The sequence below is a fragment of the Homo sapiens genome, chromosome 14, assembly GCF_000001405.40.
Source record: "Homo sapiens chromosome 14, GRCh38.p14 Primary Assembly".
In the NCBI taxonomy this organism is placed as follows: Eukaryota; Metazoa; Chordata; class Mammalia; order Primates; family Hominidae; genus Homo; species Homo sapiens.
In genome coordinates this window covers 70,521,317-70,540,754 of record NC_000014.9, presented here as the reverse complement: position 1 = coordinate 70,540,754, position 19,438 = coordinate 70,521,317, and the positions used below count along the sequence as shown (strand labels likewise).

The 19,438-nt window shown below is 38.8% G+C and overlaps 1 protein-coding gene and 1 long non-coding RNA gene across 3 annotated transcripts in view; one reads left to right on the top strand and one right to left on the bottom strand.

Moving 5' to 3' along the window:
* ADAM20 (ADAM metallopeptidase domain 20) overlaps positions 1 to 18,397 on the top strand; it is a 57,095-nt gene extending 38,698 nt beyond the window's left edge. The window contains exons 1-2 of one of the 2 annotated variants that reach the window (NM_003814.5): positions 5,751 to 5,958; positions 15,822 to 18,397. In NM_003814.5, coding sequence (NP_003805.4) covers positions 15,998 to 18,178 — 2,181 coding nt within the window. In that variant the 5' untranslated portion in view covers positions 5,751 to 5,958; positions 15,822 to 15,997 and the 3' untranslated portion in view covers positions 18,179 to 18,397. Of the gene's footprint in view, positions 1 to 5,750; positions 5,959 to 15,821 lie in introns of those variants that run through there. The other variant, XM_005268151.4, reaches the window with a different exon arrangement.
* On the bottom strand, positions 1,883 to 14,409 carry LOC105370556 (uncharacterized). The gene is made up of 3 exons (XR_007064239.1): positions 14,342 to 14,409; positions 3,301 to 3,370; positions 1,883 to 1,935 (listed from the first exon to the last, which is right to left on the bottom strand). It is a non-coding gene; the product is annotated as an uncharacterized LOC105370556 (long non-coding RNA).
* Positions 18,398 to 19,438: the final 1,041 nt, after the last annotated feature.

The following is a 19,438-nucleotide window of genomic DNA, read 5'->3' as shown; positions in this document are numbered from 1 at the left end:
TCCTTTGCCAAAGCAAACTTCCTTCATGTCTGTGGACTAGACTGCCTAAGGCCACAAGATTAGAAGTTAGGGCATTTCACTAAATAGTTCAAGATGTAGCTATCTTTATTAAACCAATATTAATGTTTCATTTGTTAAAAAAATTACACAAGCAAAGATTATTCTGTTTGGGCTGAGTTATAGTCTTGTAGCCTCTATGACAAATGTTGATACCTTATAGTATTTGGCAGAGATAAGTATAAAATTGCTTGATCGATAAATGCAAATAAAAATATATGGTGGCAACTCTTAAGACATTTCTAATCTTACTGTGCCACTAAGTTTTAAAGGTTAAAGTCATGTGAACTGAAAGTTTCCATGGCTTTTACTTTTCCCTTAAAAATATTTGATTTAAGCACTTATTTTTCTTAGGCCAATTAATTAGAGCTTTTTAAAAATAGACATTGCACACATAACACATATATAGCCACACACAGACAACCAGAAGAAGATCCAATAGTTATAATTTTTTTTTTTGGCTAATTACCCAATTGGATTATTGGCCTTCGGGTGAGGCCCTTTAAGAACAGGGCTAGGGGCCAGGCACAGTGGCTCATGCCTGTAATCCCAGCACTTTGGGAGGCCAAGGCAGGCGGATCACGAGGTCAAGAGACTGAGACCATCCTGGCCAACATGATGAAACCCCATCTCTACTAAAAATACAAAAATTAGTTGGGCGTGTGTTGCGGGACCTGGCCAGCATCCCACAATGCAACAGGGCTCTCTCTTTGTTCCCAGGCGGATCGGCAGGTTGTGAAATAATAGACACACACAAGATAGTGAAAGCTGGGTCCAGGGGGGTCACCGCCTTCTGGTCCCATGGTGCTGCCAATGCACTGAATATACTAGCATTTATTATTAAGTTTAGTGAGGGCAGGGGTAGGTTAGTGAAGGATTTAGGGTCATTTGATTATGAGGTGAGATGGTCACATGGGGATGAAGTAATTCTTTAACATAACATCTGTATGCAGAAGTACAGTATACAGAGATAAGAATTTACAATATAGTGTGTGCATCAGTAATTTCTAACAGAGCCTTAAAACAGAAACACAGTCTTTCCATAACCTATGATTAGCAAGATATTAATCAGCAGTAACAGTTGCAGCAAAAGCTGGTTACAAACAATCCATAGAAACAGGATGTGAAGCTAGACAACCAGTTAGACCACAAATTCTCAGAAGGGAGTATGCCTTAACCCTAAAGAGGCCTAGAAGAGCCGTGGCAAGATGAGGGCGTTTATAGCCCTATCTTATCCACATGGACAGGCGCCCCTCATGCGTCCATTTATAGGCTCCCCACAAGGGTCGCATTCCATTCCCAGAGCTATGAACATCTGCTTTTCTGGGATAGGAATCTTGGTGATGTGAAACCTCCCTGACTGCACGTCCATTCATAGGCTCTCTGCAGGGGGAAGCACATCACGCGTTGTTGGCTCGTCTGGCAGACCAACCTGGCATTGTCTTTACACAATCCTGCATGCAATTTTGTATTTACAATAATCAGGAGCATTTCATCTTTTATTCCATAGCAGTAGTTTCAGGGGGTCTCCCTACAGGAATTGGTGATGTGAAACCTCTCTGACTGCACGTCCATTCATAGGCTCTCTGTGGGGGGAAGCACATCATGCACTGTTGGCTCGTTCTGGCAGTCCAACCTGGCATTGTCTTTACACAATCCTGCATGCCATTTTGTATTTACAATAATCAGGAGCATTTCATCTTTTATTTTATAGCAATAGTTTCAGGGGGTCTCCCTACAGGCATGGTGACACGTACCTATAGTCCCAGCTACTTGGCAGGCTGAGGCAGGAGAATCACTTGAACCCGGGAGGTGGAGGTTGCAGTGAGCTGAGATCGTGCCACTGCACTCCAACCTGGTGACAGAGCAAGACTCCATCTCAGAAAAAAACAAAACAAAACAGGGCTAGGAAAACAGTTTCCAGGGCCTAATAAACAAGTATAGCTGGAAGACAAAGATGATTTTGAGAAGTACTTATCCACCTCTAATTCCAGGGGTTCTGTGAGGAAAACAGATTTTTCCTGAAACAGGATTTTTGGTGCCTTTTCTGTTTTCCCAATGAGTCCCAGGACACCAGAAGTCATTTTAGTGTTCTTCATACATGCACCAAGAATGGGAAGACAAAGTGGACAAAAGTAATTCAGTTAACTGGGAAAAAACCTTTTCCAGGAAAACAAGATTTATGAAGAGAAAAACATAAAGGCCTTTTGAATATACTCAGCTTGGATATTCATTTTAATTAAGCTGAGCACTCTTTTTCATCGGGGTGAGGGTGGAAGTTAGAATTATATAAATATCATGCCAAGTTAAATTAAAGGATTAGGTTATGTGCCAGGAATTCCCTGAGATAATGAGGGGGATTTTCCGGGAAAGATCCCAGATGCTGTTTGATCTGTGACAAATCAGACATGGAAAAAGGCATATGAATGCGAGCAGTGCCTTCAAACCTAGCCACTTCTCAGAAACAGAGAATAGCAGAGATGGTTTTTGAATGGGTAGCAGGTGGAGAAGGAGGAGGAGTGGGATTTGGGGCTGAGGGCTTGGGGGCAGGGCGGGACACCGGGGCAGAGAGTTCAGACAGATGAGGAGCATCATGATGCAGGGGGATGAGAATACGGAGGGGATTCATCTGCAGGGTCAAAAGGGATTTCGGAGGAAGGAGTTTTGAAGGAAGAAGTTTTGGAGGAAGGAGAGACCCAGGGAGGGTTTTCATTAAGAAAAAGGATTTCATGAGGGGTACAAGCTTGACACAGGGAGGGTTGGGATATAAGGTAGAAGAAAGCCTGAATATAGAGAACCTCTTGCCATTTACTGTTCCTGGTTATAAAGTTGTCAAGGTCCCTGAGAATTTGAAAGTTAAAGGTGCCATTTTTGGGCCATCAGCTGTCATTATTTAATTTGTATTGGGTCCAGGCCATGTTGCAATAAAAAACTAAATGCATATGTCAAGTTTGGCGAGGTTGTGAAGGAGACAGCCCAGTGGAGAGGATGAGGAATGTGGGATTGTTTGGCACCCATGTAGACTGGCAAGAAGAAGCCGAGGGTGTCTGTTTTTGTTCCAGTTGTCCCCAGACAAAAGACAGAAACCTGGAATCCTCTTTCTCAAGAGGACGTCAAGCTGAGAAGAAACTGGACATACCCAAGATTTCTTCCAGCTTAGTCCCACTGGTCCTCCAAGGACTGGGACAGCAGACCTCACTTTCCCCAGGTACTGTAAGAACAGCAGGTGAGGGCAGATCTTACCAGCTGGCTGAATTAGTGGCCGATGTTGGATGTTGCGGTTGGAATCAGCAAAGGGCCTCTTGGACTGGAGCTGTACAAGGAAGAGAGTGAAGGAAGTATGAGGAAAGAGGAGAGGAGAAAGCGAAATACCTGTTATGGGTGGTCAGAGGTGGATTCCTGAGACCTGAGGATTTTGAGGGCTCACTGGAGAGTAGCCCCAACCTGAGCCCTCACAGTCCCCTTGAGGTTAGTTGTCCTCCTCATGCAAATTGCTCAAAAAGTGAAGTGAGAGACAAGATGAGGTAGGTGGCCAGAGACTCTCAGGATCCAGCGGGATGAGCAGCTGCTGTCCACTGCTTCCTGGGTTGCATGACAGCCTGTATCCCCAACACCCATCCCAGGTTTCAGCACCAAATGTAAGAAGTAAAGAAAGAGAAAAGAAACATGAAAAGTGGCTCAACAGTCAAAGACAAGTTTATTTTGGAGAATAAACCTGAGAGGGGCTTCTGGACAATTTTTTTTTTTTTTTTTGGTTAGGAGTGCTTGCTCCTATGGACTAAGAGTTTTTATTGGTTTTAGGGTGAGAGAGTTTATCACAGGCTTGGAATGTTTCTGTGTGGGGGAGAAGTTTATGGCAGGGTTGGAATGTCTCTGGCTGGAGGGGAGGTTATCTTGGGGCTGACATCTCTCCAGCTGGAGGGGAGGTTATCTTGGGGCTGGCATGTCTCTGGTTGGGGAGAGGTTTATCTTATGGTTGGAATGTTTCTGGTTGGAGATGTCATTTGTGGTTTATGGTCATGCTGGCCTTAGCCATTAGGCTGATGCACTTTGGATTTAGGTAGTTTTTGATCAAGGTGAACCTTAAAATGGTGATGCTTTTATAAGACAGCGATGCTCCTGCTCTGTAAATAGCTCTTTGTAGTTATATAATTTTCTTTTTAAATTCTGTAGTCATTAAGGGACATACACTGTGCAATTCTTTTTTTTTTTTTTTTTTTTTTTTTTTTTTTGAGACAGAGTTTTGCTCTGTTGCCCAGGCTGGAGTGCAATGTTGTGATCTAGGCTCACCGCAACCTCTGCCTCCTGGATTCAAGCAATTCTTCTGCCTCAGCCTCCTGAGTAGCTGGGATTACAGATGCCCACCACCACGCCTGGCTAATTTTTGTATTTTTAATAGAGACAAGGTTTCACCATGTTGGTCAGGCTGGTCTCGAACTCCTGACCTCAGGTGATCCACCTGCCTCAACCTCTCAAAGTGCTAGGATTACAGGTGTGAGCCACCATGCCTGGCCCCAATTCTTATTTTTAGGATTTGCTGATACTTCCATTATGCCCATGGATATTATGTATTTTGGTATATGTCCCATGCACATTTGAACTTCATAACTGTGCTGCAATTGTTGGATGTTTTTACATGTGTACATTAGGTTAATTTGATTAACATTTCTTAAGTTTTCTATTTCCTTACTAATTGTTTTTTAAATTGTTCTATCAGTTACTGAATGAAGCGTTTTATACCAACAAGTAGACTTTGAAGTTTTCTATTTATCCTTTTATATCTCTTACAATTTCGTTTATATATTTTGAAGCTATTTTGTTAAATACAAATTCCTGTTGAATTTCATTCTATAAAGTATATCCACTTTATTTTTGTTGCTGTTTCATCATTTCTGTTATTAGTATGGTTTCTTTGGCTTTCTTTTGCTAATATGAATTAGTAAAATGTTGCAAATATTTTGGAGTAGAAGTTATTTCCTTCCAATTCAGATTTGGAACTTTTTGCTCTGGAGCGTGTTGAGATCTGATTCTTCTTTGCATCTAGAGCCAATAAGGGGTGGTAGGAGTATGTCTTGAGGAGTCTAGGCATCCGTTTTCAGGATAAGTTCCCCAGCTGAGCTCATTGTAAGGTCTCAAGCTTGAGGTGCATAGACTTCTCAGACAGGAGAGCTCTGGGCTCTTTCACTAGTAAAGGAGACTAGGGGATATTTTGGAATGTTTACATGTTTAAAATCATCCAAATTCACCAGGAATTCTCTATTTCAAGTCTCAAAGTTTTCCCCCTTCCCAGTCAGTTTCTTCCCTTTCCCTTGACGTATCTATGTATTCAACTTATGTTGTCACTCTGCAAGCATTTCAATTAAATTTTGTTTTCAGTGAGCTTGGTTGTATGGTTAAAACAAAGGAGAGATTCTTTTAGGTCCACCATTATAAGCTCCCTGTTTGAACTGTGAATTTCAAGACTTTGGCCTCATCATGTAAATTTCCCAGTTTACATTAAATTAGCTTAATTACATTAAATTAAATATAGCTATTTCACCTCTCAGTCTTTGAGGTACTCATAGTAATTATCACAGCAGTCACTTCATCCCCTTACACACTTGGGTCAATAGGGCAGTTCACTGCAATCAACATTGAGTAGTAACTAATTGTGATGTCATTACATGCCATTCTCCATTGGATGGGAGTTCAGCAGTGTGTTTAAGACTAGGGTCATGCCCACATCAATCTCAGATTCCCATTTTATCTTTCTTTTTTGGTATCACTCCTAGTACCAAGTCTTGTGTCTGTCAATATCCTGTCCAAAAAAGAAAAACACACCAAGGAAAATTAATATAGGAAAAATTTAAAAAGTTATTAGAGGACTGAAAATATAAAAATGGAACACTGAAAGACACAGAGGTAAGATTTGCTAGAAGGAGCTACAGTATTATTAACTATATGCACATTATTGTACAGCATACCTCTAGAACTTTTTCATCTTGTATGACTGAAATTATATATCCATTGAACAGGAACTCCTCATTTCCCTAATCCCTCAGCACCTGGCAACTAACATTCTATTTTTTTTCTTCTAAGAATTTTACTACTTTAGATACCTCGTAAGTGGAATCATTCTGTATTTGTCCTGTGACTGGCTTATTTCACTTAGTATAAAATTCTCAATGCTCATCCATGGTGTAGCATATGACAGGATTTCCTTCCTTTTTTGGGCCATGCGTCTGTTGGGAAATATTTACATTTTTTTTCCACCTTTTGGTTATTGTAAATAATGCTGCAGTTAACATGGGAATGCAAAGATATCTTCAAGAGCCCGATTTTGATAATTTGGATAAATACCTAGAAGTGGGATTACTAGATCATATGGTAGTTCTATTTTTAATTTTCTGAGGAACCTGTATATTGTTTTCCATAGCAGCTGTGCCATTTTACTTTCCTACCTCCAGCATTGGAAGTCACATTTTTTTTAAGCATGAGAATTTTATGTGATACATGGGAAGGCTTCTATAAGTATAAAATAAAACATAAAATAATTTAGGATAAGATTAATACATTTAAGTGTTTTTGTGTGCGTGTGTGTGTGTGTGTGTTTTTTTTTTTTTTTTTTTTTTTTTTGAGACAGGGTCTTGCTCTCTCGCCCAGACTAGAGTACGGTGGCCCAATCTTGGCTCACTGCAACCTCTGCCTCCCAGGCTCAAGCGATTATCCTTCCTCAGCCTCCTGAGAAGCTGGGACTACAGGTGCCCACCACCATGCCTGGCTAATTTTTGTATTTTTAGTAGAGATCGGGTTTCACCATTTTGGCCAGACTGGTCTCGAACTCCTGACCTCAGGTGATCCACCCACCTTAGCCTCCCAAAGTGCTGGGATTACAGGCATGAGCCACCGTGCCCAGCCTGAATGTTATTTTTTCTAAGAGGGTTTTTTTTTTTTAAATTTTAAGTTCTAGGATACATGTGCAGAATGTGCAGGTTTGTTACATAGGTATACATGTGCCATGGTGGTTTGCTGCACCCATCAACCCATCATCTAGGTTTTAAGACCCACATGCATTAGGTATTTGCCCTAATGCTCTCCCTTCCCTTGCCCCCCATCCCTCAACAAGCATTGGTGTGTGATGTTCTTCTCCCTGTGTCCATTTGTTCTCATTGTTCAACTCCCACTTATGAGTGAGAGCATGCAGTGTTTGGTTTTCTGTTCCTGTGTTAGTTTGCTGAGAATGGTGGCTTCCAGCTTCATCCATGTCCCTGCAAAGCACATAAACTCATTCTTTTTTATGGCTGCATAGTATTCCATGGTATGTATGTGCCACATTTTCTTTATCCAGTCTATCGTTGATGGGCATTTGGGTTGGTTCCAAGTCTTTGCTATTGAAAATAGTGTTGCAGTAAACATACGTGTGCATGTGTCTTTATAGTAGAATGATTTATAATCCTTTGAGTATATACTCAGTAATGGGATTGCTGGGTTAAATGGTATATCTGGTTCTAGATCCTTGAGGAATTGCCACACTGTCTTTCACAATGGTTGAACTAATTTACACTCTCGCCAACAGTGTAAAAGCATTCCTATTTCTCCACATCCTCTCTAACATCTGTTATTTCCTGACTTTTTAATAATTGCCATTCTAACTGGCATGAGATGGTATCAGAAGTCACACTTTAACATGAAATTTGGAGCGTACAGAACATCCAAGCTAGAGGTGAGATCTCTTTGTGGTTTTGATTTGTATTTTCTCATGATTAGTGATGTTGAGCATCTTTTCATGTGTTATAACATTATTCATAAATGGTGTTGGCCATATATATATATTTTTGGATAAATGCCTATTCAGGTCATTTGCCCAACTTTGTATTTTGAAAAAACTTAATTTATTGCTTTTGAGTTTTATGGGTTTCTTATATATTTTGGATAGTAACCCTTATCAGGTATCAGATAGATGTTTGGCAAATACTTCTCCTGTCATGTAGGCCACTGTGAATTTAGGGCCTTGGGCCTTATCATGTAAAATGCCAATATAGTTAAGTATAGCTATCTCACTCCTCCATCCTTGATGTACTTATAATTACAGCAGTCACTTGGTCACCCTACATACTTGCATCAATAGGGAACTTAATCACAATTAACATTGGATGGTAATTTAAATAATTATGATGCCACTACATGCCCATCTGTTTCCAATCTGTTGATTGTCTCCTTTGCTGTTAAGAAGATTTTTAGTTTGAGGTAGTCTCATTTTTGCTTTTATTGCCCGTGCTTTTGGTGTCATGCCCAAGAAATCATTGCAAAAACAAATGCTGTGAAGATTTTCTCGTGTGTGTTTTTTTAAAGTTTTATAGTCTCAGGTCTTATTTTTATGTTTTTATTTCATTTTGAGCGATTTTTGTGTTGTATAAGTGTTCAATTTCATGCTTTTGCATGTGGATATCCAGTTTTTCCAATACTGCTTATGGAAGAGACTATTTTTCCCCCATTGTGTAGTTTTGGCACCTTTATCAGAGGTCATTTATTCATACATGTCTGGGTTTACTTCTGGGCTCTGTATTCTGTCTGTTTTTATGCCAGTACCATGCTGTTTTTACTACTGTATATTTATAATATATTTTGAAGTCAGATAGTATGAGGCTTCCAGCTTTATTCTTCTTTCTCAAGATTGTTTTGGCTGTTTGGGGCCATTTGTGCTTCTTTATAAATTTTGAATTGTTTTTCTAATTCTGCTAATAATGCCACTGAGATTTTGTTAGGGATTCTATTGAATCTGTAGATTGCTTTGGATAGTGTGGACATTTTAACAATATTAAGTCTTCTAGTCTATGAATGAGATGTCTTTCCATTTATTTATGTCTTCTTTAATTTTTTTCAGCAAGGTTTTGTGATTTCAAGTGTACATGTCTTTAATTTTTTAAATTTAAGATTATTCCTAAGTATTTTATTCTTTCTGATGCTATTGTAAATAGAATTGTTTTCTTATTTTTCAGGTGATTTATTGTTAGTATATAATTATGCACGTGACTTTTGTAGTTGATTTTGTATCCTGCAACTTTGTTGAATTCATTTATTAGCTATAACAGGTTTGTTTTTGTAGAATCTTTAGAGTTTTCTACAGATCAAGTCATCCGTGAACATAGATCATTTTACTTCTTCCTTTCTGATATGGACATTTTAATTTCTTTTTCTTGTCTAATTTCTCTGGCTAGGACTTCCCATACTGTTTTATAGAAGTGGATAAAATGGATATTCTTGCCTTGTTCCAGATCTTAGAGGAAAAGCTTTCAGTTTTTCATCATTGAGTACAATGTTAGCTGTGTACTTTTCCATACATGCCTGTATAATGTTGAGACCATTTTCTTGTATTCCTAGAATGTCAAGTATTTTTTATCAAAAAAGTGTGTTGGATTTTGTCAAATGCTTTTTCTGCATCTATTGAGATGATCATGTAATTTTTATCCTTCTGCCTGTGAATGTGATATATCACAATGATTGGTTTTTGAATGTTAAACTATCCTTGTATCATAGTAATTTCTTTTAGACCTTTTTATTTCTAAGTCATTAGTTATAATGTCTCCTTTTTCATTTCTGATTTTTGTTTTGTTTTTCTCTTAGCTGCTCTAGTTAAAGGTTTGCCAATTTTGTTGATCTTTTCAAATACCAATTTGTATTGATTTTTAAATGGTCTATTCTCTATTTTGTTTATTACTGCTCCAATGTTTATGTCTTTTTTCTGTTGACTTTCAGCGTAGTTTTTTCTTCTTTCCTTCTAGTTCCTGAAGGTGTAAAGTCAGGTTGTTTATTTGAGATTTCTCTCTCTCTTTTTTTTTTTTAAATGTCAGTATTTATCTCTGTAAACTTCTCTTTTAGGACTGCTTTGCTGCATCCTATAAGTTTTGGTATGCTGTGTTTTCATTTTTATGTCAAGATATTTGCTAATTTCCCTCTTAGTTTCTTCTTTGACCCAATGGTTGGTGTTGTTTAATTTCCATCTGCAGATGAACCACATAAGAATGTTTTGGGCAATGATGGATCGCATATATGACAGTGGTCTCATATTACAATGGAGCTGAAAAATTCCTATTGTCTAGTGACTTTGTAGCCATCTAATGTCACATCGTAATGCATTACTCATGTGTTTGTGGTGATGCTGGTGTAAACAAACCTATGCATTACCAATCATATAAAAGTATAGTACATGCAATTATGTGTAGTACATAAAGTTGATAATGATGATAAAAGATTTCCTATACTATACTTTTTATCATTATATTAGAGTATACTTCTACATATATTTTTTAAAAGTTAGCTAACTGTAAAACAGCCTCAGGCAGTTCATTCAGGAGGTGTTCCAGAAGAAGGCATTGTGATCATAGGAGATGACAGCTCCATGTATGCTATTGCCCCTTCCAATGGGACAAGATATGGAGGCAGAAGACAGTGATTATTGATGATCTTCACCCTGTGACGACCTAGGCTAATGTTTGTGTTTGTGTCTTAGTTTTTAACAAAAAATTTTAAAAGTAAGAAAAAATAATTTTAAAAATAGAAAAAGCTTATAGAATAGGGATATAAAAATTTTTGTATTTTTAGTAGAGATAGGATTTCACCATCTTGTCCAGGCTGGTTTCAAACTCCTGACCTCGTGATCCACCCGCCTTGGCCTCCCAAAGTGCTGGGATTACAGGCGTGAGCCACCATGCCTGGCCTACGATGTAAAAATTTTTGTACAGCTGTACAATGTTTTATGTTTCAAGCTAAGTGTTATTACAAAACAGTCAAGAAGTTGAAAAATTAAAAGTATATAAAGTAAAAAAGTTATAGTAAGCTAAGTTTAATTTATTATTAAAGAAATTTTTAAAAATAAATGTATTGTAGCCTAAGTGCACAGTGTTTATAAAGTTTACAGTAGTGTACAGTAATGTCCCAGGCCTTCACATTCACTCACCATTTACTTACTGACTTACCCAGAGAAACTCCTAGTTCTGCAAGCTCCATACATGATGAGTGCCCTAAACAAGTGAACCATTTTATATCTTTTATGCCATATGTTTACTGTTTCTATGTTTAAATATGTTTATATACACAAATACTTACCATTGTATTCCAGTTGCCTATAGTATTCAGTATAGTAGCATGCTGTACAGGTTTGTAGCATAGGAACAATAGGCTATCCAATATAGCCCAGGTGTATAGTAGGCTATACCATTCTAGGTTTGTAGAAGTACACTCTATGATGTTTGCACAATGACGAAATCACCTAACAACACATTTCTCAGAATTTGTCTCCATTGTTAAGTGATAAATGAGTGTATTTGTGAATTTTTCAGATTTCATTACATTATTGATAGCTAGTCTCATTCTATTGTGGTCAGAAAGATGCTTGGGGTGATTTCAATCTTAAATTTGTTAAGACTTGTTTTATGACCTAATATGTGAACTATCCTGGAGAATATTTTGTGTGCCCTTGAGAAGAATGTGTGTTCTGATGTGTTGGGTAGAATGTTCTGTGTGTGTTTGTTAGGTCCATATGGTCTATAGTATGGTTCAAGTCAGTTTCTTAAATTGATTTTCTGTCTGGATGTTCTATCCATTATTGAAAATAGGGTATCAAAATATCTTACTATTATTGTGTTGCTATCTATTTCTCCCTTAAATTATGTCAATGTTTGCTTCATACATTTGGGTTCTCCAATGTTGGGTGCATATATTTCTAATTGTTATATCTTCCTGATAAATTGAGCCCTTTTATCATTATATAGTCTCATCTTTTGTCTCTTGTAACAGTTTGTTTTGCTTTTAGATGCATATGAAATTATTTTTACTACAAACAAGATGTAGTCAAACCTGCTTTAGGAAGCTTCAGTCATTGTCTAACACAGATGTTCCAGGTGATTGCCCATTCTGTCAGACTCAAGGAGGTTCTCTCTTTTCATGTGGCCATCTATCAGCCTGTTTATAGTTTTCTCTTCTTGATAGCATCATCTACTGTGTCCTTGTCAAAACCTTTCCAGGTTTGGGTTTGTGTATTTTCCCAAGCCTCTCATTTCTTGGACAATTTCTTTCATCATTGTCAGTCAAATCTGGCATGGTCAGATTATCTCCACTAAGCTCTGGAATGAGGAAACCTTTTTGTTTAACACATCCTAAGAAGGATTCTCCAATTCTACCTGGACATATGGAACAGTTCAACCCCCTATACATTAGGGGAAACCTATGTATCCAGTGATTAATATAATCATGAAAAGAAATAAAGTATCCAGTTATTAATACAATCATGAAAAGAAAATGAAAAGGACTTTCTTAGAAGATGGACCTAAGTGATCCTTATCTATTCACTTTCTGATCCATTTCCTCACAACCATATCTAAAAAAGAAGATAGTAGATGGCAAAGATATAAAATTGTCTCCCAATTGTTGTTCCAAACTCCCCCGCCCACTGCGAGTGCATCATCATTCAGTTGCTTTTAATATTGTATTGAACTTCACATTCACCTTTGTTTTATGCAGGTTTAACATAATTATATTAAGGATACTAAGCTTTCTTTAGCCAAAAGTATGAACATTTTATATCAATAACAATATTTCTGCTATATTTTTCTACCAAATTATAGTTTAACTGGTGATGTGGTAGAACCACACATAAAAAAGCAGACCATATACATAAATATTTCAAACACAGGATATGATGCTTATTCAGAAGTTTACAGAATATTAATGATGCAAAGCAGAAGTTGAATTTAATCTAAACATTGAAGGATACTATAATGTGGTTCAAGAATGAGGAAAGGTTTAGATGATTTAGATAAGGGTAGGGCATGAACAAAGTTCCTAAAGCAGAAGTGAGCATATGCTGTGTGTGGAGCTCATAAGATGGGGTTGAAGAGGCTGACCTGACACTTGCATGTAGGGGAGGGATAGAAAAAGAAAACTGGATAGAGGTGGTGGAGGCAGAGTCAATTGACTTTAAGAGCCACATGGTGTGATCTGTAACTGAGAGGACCTTGTTGCTGAGCAGCGAGATTAAGAACTTAATCCTCTGTGAGATCTACAGAGATTTGTTTACTTTTGACATGTGAGATGTCAGTTCTTATATTTGTTTTTTGAGGGGGCAATACAGACCACTGATGAGCGTGGCCATTAAAAGAACTATGGGCATAATTGTTCAGTTTGCTGGTAAGTGATTCTTGTCCATTAAAGAGAGAAAGTTCTAGTGGCAAGGTGGTAGCCATGGGAGTATGTGAGAATAAAGGAAGATAAATATTTTAAGGTTAGTAGAGATTTGAGTATGTTCATGTACTGGAAATAAAGAGAAAGTAATGAAGGAAAAGTTGAGGATAAATCTGACAGTTGAGTCAATCTTCAAGTAGGTAAGGCTATAGGATTCATAGCACAGATAGAGGGGCTATGAGCTGGAACTGGAGGAAGATACATCTTTCACTGAAATTGAATCCAAGATCCCAGGGAGAGATAAGAATGACTGTAGTTTCAGATAGGATTTTATTTTCAGCAAAGAAAGAGGGACAGAGTTTTCCCCAAAATCTTTCATTTTCATTATTTGGCTACTGCTCTTCCAGTGGATTTTGACTGTGACCCACAATAAGAAATTTAGCTTAGTTTACATTGAGACTCAGTGAGCATGGGAGTGTGCAGATACAAACACAGACACAGAAAATTAAATATAAACTCTGGTTACAGTGTTTGAAGGTCTTGCTAAGGATCTGTGTAAAACCCTCTGATATTTTCAACACAATTGTGTTTCCTTTGGTTGTGGCCCACTACATTGATTTACAGTTTGTGACCTGAGTTTGAGAAACACAAAATTAGGCTGTGACTGTGAGTGAGGGGAGAGATCATAAGATAGGGTGTTGATGAGTTTTAAATTGTTACTGGAATTAGAAGAAAGAGTTAATTACTGATGCAGAGGAAGATTCTCACAGTGGTTGAAATCCCAGTAATATTAGAGGAAAGGCCTTCAGAATACACCCGTTCACAAAATTAATGGGAAGGCAATGTTCCTTTAAGACTTGTCTTTGGAGTAATGCATTGATGACAAGGACTGGCCTATCACAGATTCTTTGGAATAAACTTTTGTATTATAACCTCATCATATTTCTGACTATATGTAATATAGGTTTTATCTTCTCTACAAGGCTTTTTCTGTCATGATCCTCTCTCAATTCACCCATTTCCATCTTAATGTTCCAAACTCTATGACACATACCAAGGATATTATGAGGAGAGCTATGGAGAGGAAATCTAAATTGGGATTTCACCTCTATCAGATATACTTTACCTAAGAGGTCTCATCTAGTGATCCTGATTTCCTCTTGTGGCATCCGGTGGCCATCCATTAGTTCTGGACACCCACATGGAGGGATAGAGGTTTTCTTGACATCATAATGCTAAGGAGGTTGCACATGCTCATTTGTGCTCTTAGAATATTGAGGCCACCAGTATGTGTTAACAACGTGTCTCCAAATTTGTTTTAACATTTTGATTTCAAATATGAGCAAATCATTAACAACATTTTTAAGTGAAAGTCAGGAACTGAGCAAAGTTAGCTTTTACTTGAGCCAAAATTTGTTTTCAACAGTAATGAGGTTTTTAAGTCTACTCAAATTGTGGTCTTCTGAACATTAGAATGAATGGACTCTAGGCTTAAGCTCCTCTGTGTAGGCTTTCTTTGGAACATTGAGATTGAAATGTGTAGATCCAGGTAACTCATCAGCCATGTGAAAAGTAGAATCAAATCTGTATTGACATGACCAGGAGGAGCCTCTTATGATAGAGATCATGATGCTAGTTGGCTGTGTGCCCTGTCCCAAAACAGCTGCCTCACTCCCTGTTACCCTATCACATGCCTTCCTTCCTTAGAATGCCCAGGGCTTTTCTGCAGATAAGAATATATTATAAAATTAAAAAGTCTTGATTGGAGGAGGTTTCTCAATACTAGTAAGCCCTTTTAGTGGGGCTTTTTTGACTATCAATTTAGAGCACAATTAGGTATACATAAAATGTCTGGGATAGAAGAGGGGAGATGGAGCAAACTACATGAATAAAGGAACAAAGAATGGTGGATTTTGGATGTGTTGTCCATATACTTATTGAATGTGCAGGTTGCCAGTAGGTTTTTGGTTGGAAGAAAGATTTGTGTCAGAATCCAGTGTCTTTAAAATGAACAATTTTGCTCGGTATGACAGCTCATGCCTGTAATCCCAGTACTTTGGAAGGCTGAGACAAGAAGATCACTTGAGACCAGGAGTTTGAGACCAGCCTGGGTAACATAGTGAGACTCCATCTCTATCCCCCCAAAAAAAATCAAAAAGAAAAATTAGCTGGCTGTTGCAATGCATGCCTGCAGTTCTACTTGGAGGCTAAGGTGGGAGGATCTCGTGAGTCTAGGACTTTGAGGGTGCAATGTGCTGTGATTGTGTCACTGCACTACAGCCTGGGCAACAGAGCAGTACCCCATCTGTAAAATAAGGAAATAATAAAAGAAATACATACATTAAAATAAAATGGAAAATGTCTTGCCATTTTACATATTTTAAGAACAGTATATAATGAATCTTTAGGTATCCATCATGAAAATTTGGTAATAACTCACCTATGTGCAATCTCCCCTATCTGGAAATCTTCTTGGCCATATGTATTAAGAGAATCCTAATGCATTTTATTGCTTCAAATATGGTCCAAATGCAGGAATCACTTTGCCTTTTTTCTCTCTCTCTTTCTCCCTTTCTATCCCACCCACCCCATCCTGGCTCTTTCAGTTTTTATTTTCAGCACTGCAGCTCTGATGGTCCAGCTCCACCAGGACACAGATCCCCAGATCCCTAAAGGTCAGCCATGCACCCTGAACAGCTCAGAGGGAGGAGCCAGACCAGCAGTGCCTCACACCTTGTTCTCTTCTGCTCTAGACAGATGGCTCCATAATGACAGCTTCATAATGGCAGTGGGTGAGCCCCTGGTGCACATCAGGGTCACTCTTCTGCTGCTCTGGTTTGGGATGTTTTTGTCTATTTCTGGCCACTCTCAGGCCAGGCCCTCCCAGTATTTCACTTCTCCAGAAGTGGTGATCCCTTTGAAGGTGATCAGCAGGGGCAGAGGTGCAAAGGCTCCTGGATGGCTCTCCTATAGCCTGCGGTTTGGGGGACAGAGATACATTGTCCACATGAGGGTAAATAAGCTGTTGTTTGCTGCACACCTTCCTGTGTTCACCTACACAGAGCAGCATGCCCTGCTCCAGGATCAGCCCTTCATCCAGGATGACTGCTACTACCATGGTTATGTGGAGGGGGTCCCTGAGTCCTTGGTTGCCCTTAGTACCTGTTCTGGGGGCTTTCTTGGAATGCTACAGATAAATGACCTTGTTTATGAAATCAAGCCAATTAGTGTTTCTGCCACATTTGAACACCTAGTATATAAGATAGACAGTGATGATACACAGTTTCCACCTATGAGATGTGGGTTAACAGAAGAGAAAATAGCACACCAGATGGAGTTGCAATTGTCATATAATTTCACTCTGAAGCAAAGTTCTTTTGTGGGCTGGTGGACCCATCAGCGGTTTGTTGAGCTGGTAGTGGTCGTGGATAATATTAGATATCTTTTCTCTCAAAGTAATGCAACAACAGTGCAGCATGAAGTATTTAACGTTGTCAATATAGTGGATTCCTTCTATCATCCTTTGGAGGTTGATGTAATTTTGACTGGAATTGATATATGGACTGCATCAAATCCACTTCCTACCAGTGGAGACCTAGATAATGTTTTAGAGGACTTTTCTATTTGGAAGAATTATAACCTTAATAATCGACTACAACATGATGTTGCACATCTTTTCATAAAAGACACACAAGGCATGAAGCTTGGTGTTGCCTATGTTAAAGGAATATGCCAGAATCCTTTTAATACTGGAGTTGATGTTTTTGAAGACAACAGGTTGGTCGTTTTTGCAATTACTTTGGGCCACGAGCTTGGTCATAATTTGGGTATGCAACATGACACCCAGTGGTGTGTGTGCGAGCTACAGTGGTGCATAATGCATGCCTATAGAAAGGTGACAACTAAATTTAGCAACTGCAGTTATGCCCAATATTGGGACAGTACTATCAGTAGTGGATTATGTATTCAACCGCCTCCATATCCAGGGAATATATTTAGACTGAAGTACTGTGGGAATCTAGTGGTTGAAGAAGGGGAGGAATGTGACTGTGGAACCATACGGCAGTGTGCAAAAGATCCCTGTTGTCTGTTAAACTGTACTCTACATCCTGGGGCTGCTTGTGCTTTTGGAATATGTTGCAAAGACTGCAAATTTCTGCCATCAGGAACTTTATGTAGACAACAAGTTGGTGAATGTGACCTTCCAGAGTGGTGCAATGGGACATCCCATCAATGCCCAGATGATGTGTATGTGCAGGACGGGATCTCCTGTAATGTGAATGCCTTCTGCTATGAAAAGACGTGTAATAACCATGATATACAATGTAAAGAGATTTTTGGCCAAGATGCAAGGAGTGCATCTCAGAGTTGCTACCAAGAAATCAACACCCAAGGAAACCGTTTCGGTCACTGTGGTATTGTAGGCACAACATATGTAAAATGTTGGACCCCTGATATCATGTGTGGGAGGGTTCAGTGTGAAAATGTGGGAGTAATTCCCAATCTGATAGAGCATTCTACAGTGCAGCAGTTTCACCTCAATGACACCACTTGCTGGGGCACTGATTATCATTTAGGGATGGCTATACCTGATATTGGTGAGGTGAAAGATGGCACAGTATGTGGTCCAGAAAAGATCTGCATCCGTAAGAAGTGTGCCAGTATGGTTCATCTGTCACAAGCCTGTCAGCCTAAGACCTGCAACATGAGGGGAATCTGCAACAACAAACAACACTGTCACTGCAACCATGAATGGGCACCCCCATACTGCAAGGACAAAGGCTATGGAGGTAGTGCTGATAGTGGCCCACCTCCTAAGAACAACATGGAAGGATTAAATGTGATGGGAAAGTTGCGTTACCTGTCACTATTGTGCCTTCTTCCTTTGGTTGCTTTTTTATTATTTTGCTTACATGTGCTTTTTAAGAAACGCACAAAAAGTAAAGAAGATGAAGAAGGATAAGAGAAATGGGAAAAAGAAGGAGACTAAACTTTATACTTCATTTTTAATATCCAATTTTTTAATAGAAAAATATGAAGCCATGTCTCACTGTTTAAATAAAACTTCATGGACATTTCATGTCAGGATTGCAAGCATTAGCTATCACAGCAAAGGATTCCTAGCCTATTCTTACTTACTCTACAGTGTCTTAAGCAATATTAAAGGTTCCTTTTCCCAGAAGTTGTGTCTTTATGTTTCCTGAGCAAAGGCACAGAAAAGATAGTTTCAAGCTGTTGTCCCTCATTTTTAACTCTCCTCTCTCTCTCTCTCTTTTTTTTTTTTTTTTTTTGCTGTACTATGTAATGTTCAGGATGTGCCTGTACACAACTCATTTCTGTTTGGCACATTCAGCTGTGCCAAAGGGGGCAGTAGAAGTAGCCTGGAGTGATGATGAGGGAAGAAGGGAGCTTTCTTTCCTGTGTGCTTACCATGAGTGTCACCATTATTTTGGTTGGGGCCATTCACTCTGGCAATTATATTTGGTTTCAGATTCCAGTTCTGTTGTCACTTTTAGAACCACCCTCATTTTTCCTTAGAAATACCAGCAGCAGTTGGACACTGACCTCCTTAGGGGTCCGGGAGTGAGCAGGGTTGTGGTCCTCTGAGTTCTTGAAGCAGCAGCAGCTGTTCACTGTGCCATCTTTAGAGGTCTGGGTCCTTGCTCTGCAGGGAATGTTCTTTAATCATCGCCACTCTAGTAAACCCAACTTCTTTCTTCTGTTCTCCTGGCCCTAGGAGTGTTAGGTGCCTTCTGTAGCTACTTTGTTGTTGGTTGAGTTCTCCAGAAGCAGATACTGAATTGGAGTTTCAAGTACAAGATTTTGTTAGGGACCAACAGCTGTGAAAAAAGGCAAGGAAGTTGGTTGTGCAGATGAGAAATACAAGTACAGGCGTACCTTGGACATAATATAGGTTCAGTTCCAGACCACTGCGATAACAGGAATATCACAATAAAATGAGTCACACAAAATTTTTGGTTCCCAGTACATAAAAAAGTTATATTTACACTACACTGTAATCTGTTAAGTATGTAGCATTATGTCCAAAAATGCAATACCTTAATTAAAAATCTTTTATTGCTGAGAAATAGTAACAATCCTCTGAGCCTTTAATGAGCCATATGTTTTTGCTGGTGGAGGTTCTTGCCTCATTGTTGACAGATGCTGACTCTTCAGGGTGGTGGTTGCTGAAGATTGGGGTGACTGGAAATTTCTTAAAATA